The sequence below is a fragment of the Homo sapiens genome, chromosome 19, assembly GCF_000001405.40.
Source record: "Homo sapiens chromosome 19, GRCh38.p14 Primary Assembly".
NCBI lineage: Eukaryota > Metazoa > Chordata > Mammalia > Primates > Hominidae > Homo > Homo sapiens.
Window position 1 is genome coordinate 44,358,926 of NC_000019.10, and position 8,595 is coordinate 44,367,520.

An 8,595-nucleotide genomic window follows, 5' to 3' on the forward strand; every position below is an offset into this window, starting at 1 on the left:
GGGGCAGGGAGATATACTATATCCTGTGCCTGCCAACCAGCAGTACTTTTTCTTGTAGCAACTGCCTAATTTTCAGTTTTTCTAACACTTGAATAACCTATTTCATCATGGCTCTTTGTAAACATTATTAAACAACTTCCCAAAGACTGATCCTTAGATGTCTAAGTCCTAACACTGCAGGGCCCTGCTTTTGAGCTCAGAGACAGCAGAACCAGCCCAACATTGACCTCTCCTCAGAGGTCTGAGTTTCAGGTGAGCATGACCTTCCTTCAAGCTTCTAAGTTTTAGTAATTCTGGTCTCTTCACTTTGTTTCCTCAGACCTCAGGTGGTTGCTGCTTGCTGCAGTTGCTATTTCCTGCAGTTGCTGCTTCCATCATATATTAGAGTTCTTTTTTTTTTTTTTTTTTTTTTTTTTTTTTGAGAGTCTCGCTCTGTTCCCCGGGCTGAAGTGCAGTGGTGCCATCTCGGTTCACTGCAACCTCTGCCTCTCGGCTTCAAGCAATTCTCCTGCCCCAGCCTCCCGAGTAGCTGGGATTACAGGCATGCGCCACCACGCCCAGCTAATTTTTGTATTATCAGTAGAGATGGGGTTTCACCACATTGGCCAGGCTGGTGTTGAACTCCTGACCTCGTGATCCACCCGCCTCAGCCTCCCAAAGTGCTGGCATTACAGGCGTGAGCCACTGCATGTGGCCTACAGTTCTTTTTCTGCTCTTTCAGAAATCTAGCTACCAACTCTACAATATGCTAATTTTTCTTTTCAAATAATTGATAAGGTTTCTATCTTCTCAGTGGACCCTAAATTACAAACTTGTTTAGAAATTAATCAAACCACTTTTAAGTAATCCATAGATAAAAGACTGTGGCATTGAAATTTGGTGTCATCAGTGAATTCTACCAAATATTTAAAGAAGAAACCATGTTCATCTCAAAATTATTCCTGAGAATAACAAAATAGGAAACACTTTCCAACTAACTTTATGAGGCCACTGTAATAACACTGACAAAATTTGTGAGAGGCTTCATTAGAATGGAAAATGACAGGTCTGGCCAGGCACGGTGGCTCATGCCTGTAATCCCAGCACTTTGTGGGGCTAAGGCAAGCAGATCATGAGATCAGGAGATCCAGACCATTCTGGCTAACACAGTGAAACCCCGTTTCTACTAAAAATACAAAAAAAAAGCCGGGCATGGTGGCACGTGCCTGTATTCCCAGTTATTTGGGAGGCTGAGGTGGGAGAATCGCTTGAACCTGGGAGATGGAGATTGCAGTGAGCTGAGATCGTGCCACTGCACTCCAGCCTGGGTGACAGAGGAGACTCCATCTCAAGAAAAAAAAAAAGAAAAGAAAAAAGAAAGAAAAAGAAAATGACAGGTCTATCTCGTCATAAATATACTTTCAAAAATGCTAAACAAAATGTTGCCAATGATATATAAAAGGGCAACCTAGGTATCAGAGAAAAAAAAAGTTTGATTAATCACCCATTTATCATAAGAAAATTTAGGCAACTAAGCAATAGTAAAGATCTACAAAAATGGCAACAAATATCAAAAGGAATAGTGAAATATTGAAAACATTTCCTCTATGATGGGGAACAAAATAATGATGTCCACCCCAATCATTTCTACTAAATACCACATTTGCTCCTTTATCCTGCAATCTTGCCAACTAATCTAATTAATTTTAATATTTTATGTGTAGATCTTTTGAATTTTATATGCATGCTCATGTTGACTTCAGATCTGCAACAAATGGGGCGCTGCAGCAACATGGGAACAGGGAAAATATTCAATACATGTTGCTGTTAAATTGAGTATTGTGAAATAAAACTGAAATTGACCTATACCTCCCACTATATGCAACAATCTAAGGCTGGTGGATTGTAGAGCCCGATTTGAAAAGCATTTCTTATGACACTTAAATCTACTCAGTGTATAAACCTATAAGAAATGTGTACCAAAATACACATATAAGAATGTTCATAGCAGGATCATTCATCACAATGACATGCTGAGAATACTCCAGATGTCTATCGATGATAGTATGGATAAATATTTTTGTTATTTACACAAGGTAAAAGCAAGGACATTGAACAAACTTTAGCTGTACATGCAATACCATGATGACTCCCATAAATATGTTGAGCAAAATAACTAGACAAACCCAGTAGATGCAGTGTGATTCCACTTGTACGAAGTTCATTAGACATGCAAAATTCATCAATAGGATGATTTTGGACACTTAAATAGTAAAAATATGAAGAAAAGCAAGGGAATCTTAAAACTTAGGGTAGTGGTTTCTTTTTATGGGGAAGAAAGCATCATGATGCTGTGAGAGTGGGGTGTTTGCAATTCTACCATGCTTCAATTTTTGTTGTGGGTGGTGATTATACAGCTGTTCATTTTATATTCATACTTTCACATGTATATTTATGATTCAGACACTTTTCTGAATGTGAGTGATATTTCAATCTGTAAAATCAATGATATATGACCAACAAACTGTGGTGCATCAATACAATAGAGTATTATTCAGCCATAAAAAGAAATGAGATATGAAGTTATGAAAACACATGGAATAACCTTAAATTCATATTGTTAATGGAAAGCAGCCAGTCTGTCAAAGCTACGTACTGTAATTCAACTATATGATAATCTGGAAAAGGCAAAACTAAAGGTCAGTAAAGTGATCAGTGGTTGTTAGAGGTTCAGGGAGATTAATTGATAGAGCACAGGGTATTTTTAAGCAGTGACACTATTCTGTGTGATACAGTATGGTTGATATAGGACATTATGCTTTGTCAAAACCCATGGAATGTACAACACAAAGAGTAAGCCCTAATGTAAACCACAGACTTTAATAATAATGTATCAAAATTGGTTCATTAGTTGTAATAAATATGCCACACACATGCAAGATGCAAACAATAGGAGAAACTGGGCAGGGGAAAGGAGAGTATATGGGAAATATTAATACTTTCTCAGTTTTTCTGAGCAGTTTTCTGTAACCCTAAAACTGCTCTTAAAATAAAGTCTATTTTAAAAAATCAATGATATGTTTCAAAGGAAACTGAATATATGGCATAGAACTTTTTCAGAACTTAGAGGGAAGGGCTAAAAATAATGAGAAACTCTATAATGAATATGAACATACTGATCAGGTGTATCTTATAAGCTAATGAGAAAAAATGAGGATTAGAGAAGGAAGCAGATTGTAATAAATAAATCATTAAGAAAGAATAAACAATTTATCCACATGGGCAAAATCTCATATTGGAAGGAGGAGAAGAAGATGGAGGAGAAGGGGGAGGAAGGTGAGGGTATGTAGGAGGAGGAGAAGTAGGAGGAGGAAGAGTAAGAGAAAAAGGAGGAAGAGACTCGTAGAGATGCACTTGCAGACATTGAGAAATTTTTTAATGGCAAGGCTGAAGACTAAAGAATTGAGTCAATTTCAAAGGAATGAAAAAATAAGCTTTGCATTTTAATTATTGTCTGCAACATTAAAAGTACTAATAAAATATAAAAATAATCTATGGGATTTTTGAGGTGAAAAGATTGATCCTTCTATGGTCAGAGAATGTTTTGTTCATGTGCACTATTCTTGGCATACAAGATTCAGTTGTGAATCACTTCTAAATTCTTTCCGGAAAATATTCTTCAAGACATATTACAGGCCTTTGACAACAACACAGATAAAGCGTCCACAGACCGTCTTCCTAGTTTATTTACATAGAAATGCTGGATAAAATGTGAATGTGAAAATATCATTTATTTGAATAGGAGAATGTTTGAGGGCACACATATTAAAAAGAAAAAGAAAAAAAGAAACAGATATTATTTATTTGTTCCATTATATCCCCCACTACCCACTCTCATTTTCTCCCCTGCCGCATCAGTAACCAGGTCGATCTGTTTAATGTGTGCCTGTTGTTGGTATGTCTTTCTGGCAAAATGTGTGGAATTTCGGATGCATATATATATATCTTGTGTTATAAAACTCTGTTAAAAATTTTCACTCAAAACTGTTTTTCTCAATATTTTACTAAAAAAAATTTTTTTTGAAGACAGGGTCTTACCTTGTCACCTAGGCTAGAGTGCAGTGGTATGATCACAGTTCACTGCAGCCTTGACCAACTGGGCTCAAGCCATCTTCCCACCTCAGCCTCCAAAGTAGCTGGGACTATAGTTGTGCCCAATCACACATGGCTAATTTTTTTTTTTTTTTGCAAAGATGGGGTCCCACTATGTTGCCCAGGCTGGTCTCAAACTCCTGGCCTCAAGTGATCCTCCCACCTTGGCCTCCTAAAGTGCTGGCATTGTAGGCATGAGCCACTGTGCCTAGCCCTGAAATTTTATAACATAAAGAAGAGTTGGAAGAATTATACAGTAGTCACCCATATATTCTCAGCTTAGATACTAAAATTAGCAACATTTATGTCTTAGCCATCTATCTAGCTATCTTATTACTTATCCATCAGAACATTAACATTACCCCACAAATTCCCTCATGACACTTTCCAGTCAGTCTCTAACCCCTTCCCCCAGTGGCAACCACTGTTCTACTTTTTCACCATAAATTTTACTAATTTTAGAATATGAAATATATGGAACCATACGGTAAGAACTCTTCTGTATTACAATTCTTTGAGTATAGTGTTTTTCAGATCCATCCATGTTGATGCACATATTAGTCATTTGATCCTGAAGTGATGTTCTATTGTATGAATATAAGTCTTTGGAAACTTGCTTACATTTTAATTGTTTAAATATTTTTATGAATAAAGATCCTGCAGCATACTTATAAAAGTCTTTTTGCGTGCATGTGCTTTCTTTTCTCTGGAATAAATATCTATGATTAGAATTGCTTGATGTGTTTAACTGCTTAAGAAACCACCAGATCATCTCCCAAAAGATTAATTTTACACTGTCTCCCAAAATATATGCAATTTCTGATTGTTTTGAATCCTAATAAGCATTTGCTGTTATTAGTATTTTTTTTTGAGATGGAGTTTCACTCTTGTCATGCAGGCTGGAGTGCGGTGGCATGATCTTGGCTCACTGCAACCTCTGCCTCCTGGGTTCAAGCGATCCTCCTGCCTCAGCCTCCTGAGTAGCTGGGATTACAGGCACCTGCCACCATGCCTGGCTAATTTTTGTATTTTTAGTAGAGACAGGGTTTCTCCATGTTGGCCAGGCTGGTCTCGAACTTCTGACCTTGGATGATCTGCCCACCTCGGCCTCCCAAAGTACTGGAATTACAGGTGTGAGCCACCATGCCTGGCCTGTTATCAGTATTTTTAATATCTGCCATTCTGGTGATCTTGTAGTTGTATCTCTCTGCAGTTTTCATTTGCTTTTTCCTGATGACAAATAATGTCACACTTCTCCATGGGCTATATTAACAATTTGTATGTCTTCCTTTGTAAAGTAACTGTTCAAATTTTGCCCATTATAATTGAGATGTTGGGCTCTTTAATATTGTATTGTACAAGTCTTTATATATTCTGGGTGTCAGTCAGTCTGAAATTTGGGCAGAGTTTAATGTAGAATAAGGGGCAATTCTTTGCTTGACATCTTTTTCCCTGGATTTCTTCCCTCACTTTCCAGGTCCTGTGGTCACCTCAATCTCTGTCATCTAGATCTTCAAGCCAGTGGATACTACAGAAGCATCCACAGATTCAATGAAACAGGGATCAAAAATATTCAGAAAAAAAAATACAAATTAGCAACACAACAATAAAAATAACACAAATAAAAAACCCAATACAGTATAACAACTATTTACATGGCATTTTTATTGTATAGGGATGGAAATAATTTGAATTATACAGGGTGATATGAAAAGGTTAGATGAGACTACTATGGCCATTTTACATAACAGACTTGAACATCCGCGGATTTTGATTTCCATAAGGGTCCCTGAACCAATTCCCCACGGACACCAAGGGACTACTGTATTCAGGATTTTTTCACCTAGTGCATGAAGGATATTCATCTGTAGTTTTCTTTCCTTATAATTTCTTTGTCTTGTTTGGTATTATCAGATTAATGCTGGCCTCATGAGACAAGCTGGGGGTGGGTGGGTGTTCCCTTCCCTTTTCGTTTCTGGGTTTATTTAAAATTCACATCTTTACTCTTTAAATGTTTAGTAGAATCCACCAATGAATTAATCTCAATATTGGTTTTTTTATTGTTGTTGTTGGAAGGCTTTATCTATTAATCAGTTTTGAAATATATATCAGGCCAGGCAGGTGCAGTGTCTCAAGCCTGTAATCCCAGCACTTTGGGAGGCCAAGGTGGGTAGAGCACTTGAGCCCAGGAGTTCAAGACCAGCCCAGGCAACTTGGTAAAAAACCACCTCTACAAAAGATACAAAAAATTAGCTGCTCACTGTGGTGTGAACCTCTAGTTCCAGCTACTCAGGAGGCTGAGGTGAGGTGGGAGGATCAACTGAACCTGGGAGTTCGAGGCTGCAGTGAGCTGTGATCATGCCTCTGCACTCCAGCCTGTGTGACACAGCAAGACCCTCTCTCAAAAAAAATTATATATATATATATTTATGTGTGTGTGTGTAAAAATTGTATACACACACACACATACATACACTCAACTATCTAGGTTATCCTAGATATTTCTTTTTGAGTGAACTTTGGTAGTTTGTGCCTTTCAAGTAATATTCCATGTCATGTAAATTGATGAATTTATGGACAAAGAGTTGTTTGTAATGTTCCTTTATAATCCTTTTAATATCTGCAAAATCTGTAATAATGTTCCCTCCCTCCTGATTTTTGTTTTCTTCTTTTTCCCCGTTGGTGAGTCAGTTGAAAGGTTTATAAACTATATTGATCTTCTCAAAGAATAAGGTTATGATTTTGTTGATTTTTAAAGATTGTTTTTCTGTTTCCAATTTCATTGACTTATGTAGCTGCCACAAAACTTCACTCTATCCTCTCCAGGACCCAGCTGGGCTCAAGAATTAAATTAACATAACACAGATTAACAGGAGAAAAGCATGCAAATTTATTTAATACAAGTTTTACACGTGACCAGAGCCTTCATTACAAAATGAAGCTCCAAAGAAACAGTCAGTTATGTATACACTGTAGTGAACAAAGAATAGTAAGTTGTTAAGAAGCAATTAGGCCAGGCCTGGTGGCTCTCGCTTGTAACCCCAGCACTTTGGGAGACAGAGGCAGGAGGATAGCTTGTAGCCAGGAGTTTGAGACCATCCTGGGCAACACAGTAAGACTGCATCTCTACAAAATAAAAATAAATTTAAATTTTTTTCTTTTTTAAAAAAGAAGCAACTAAATCATGCGGAGAGGCTTGAAAGATGTTATTTTAAGGTGGTCTGTACAGAATTCTTTTGGGCTTGACTTCTCATTTTGAGGAAAAGTATATTGCTCCTTTTTTTTCCAGTATAAGGAGGGGATCTTCTTTCCTCCTTCCCACCCTCCCTCCTTCCTTCCTACCTCTTCCCACAGACGTGCTAGCAGAATGTGCTAATTAGTAAATATCTTCTGCCCTGAGAAGAGAGATGACACGGCAAGAAGAAGGATGCTAAGTCACACTCAGTTAAGGTTCTGCTGCTAGGAGCCAAAGAGTCATTCTTTCCTCATTCCTGTGACCATCTGCGAGAAATCAGAACTGTGTCTCCCTCCTGCACGAATCACAGAGGACATCCCGATACAATAGCCTGGAGTGATTCCCGCCCCATTCCCCCCACCCCCACTTTTTTAAAAAGGGAATCCAGGAATCGTCCTGCTTCCTGTAGGGATCAGAAAGAAGGGGCAAAATAGCACTGCAGGTGGAACTCTGATTTCTTCCCAGGCTCATAGAAGCTTTCAGGTAACTGGGGCTTCTCGGGAAATTAAAAAAAAAAAATTAATAAAATGAACCACACTTACCACCTTTTACTTGTGACTATCTCATTTAATTCTCCACTCAACTGCATCAGTTTGGTACTACTATTCCCCTTATGTTACATAAAAGGAATGCTAGGCACATACAGTTTGAATTACTTCCCAATTTCACACCCCTAGAAGGTGGCAGAACTGCCTGGTCAGTCCTGGAGTAGGAACAGAGCGCACAAAATACAAGAGATCCTCAACCCGCCAAGACCAAATGCTGCAAACTCGACAAAGGCTCACTCACCTGGGGCCCAACCCCATCTTCCACTGCTAGCCGCGGATGCTCTTCTCGAAGACAAGGAGGGCCGCCGCCAGGCTAAACGAAACATTGCTGTCTCAGGCCTCACTCAACTTCCTGAAAGGAATGATGACCTCACTTTCATGGAGCGGAAGTGACTGTAGTTACCCACAATTCCTGGATTATAACCCCAGAATTCCCAATGAGATAATCGTCACAGCCACGCCCTCCTGTAGCGGAAGCCCGGCCGCCTACACAGAGCTCCAAGGTTACTGCTCCCAGAATCCTCGCAAAGAATTGGCAATGTCGTTGCCTTTCTCTGGCGGAAGGCTGGCTACTACCCTTTGAATTTGGAATGTATGTCACACAGTTCTAGAGTAGAATGCAAACTCAGCACTGTCCTCTTTGAACCAAAATGTCTCCAAAAACAAGATTCTAATTTATAC

The 8,595-nt window shown here is 38.7% G+C and overlaps 1 protein-coding gene across 2 annotated transcripts in view; it reads right to left on the bottom strand.

Annotated features, from left to right (window-relative positions):
* ZNF112 (zinc finger protein 112) overlaps positions 1-8,292 on the bottom strand; it is a 40,665-nt gene extending 32,373 nt beyond the window's left edge. For both annotated transcript variants that reach the window (NM_001348282.2, NM_001348281.2), the window contains exon 1: positions 8,156-8,292. Coding sequence is in view for 1 of the 2 variants with exons in the window: in NM_001348281.2 (NP_001335210.1) it covers positions 8,156-8,172 (17 nt within the window). In the remaining variant the exon portion in view is untranslated. The remainder of the gene's footprint in view (positions 1-8,155) is intronic.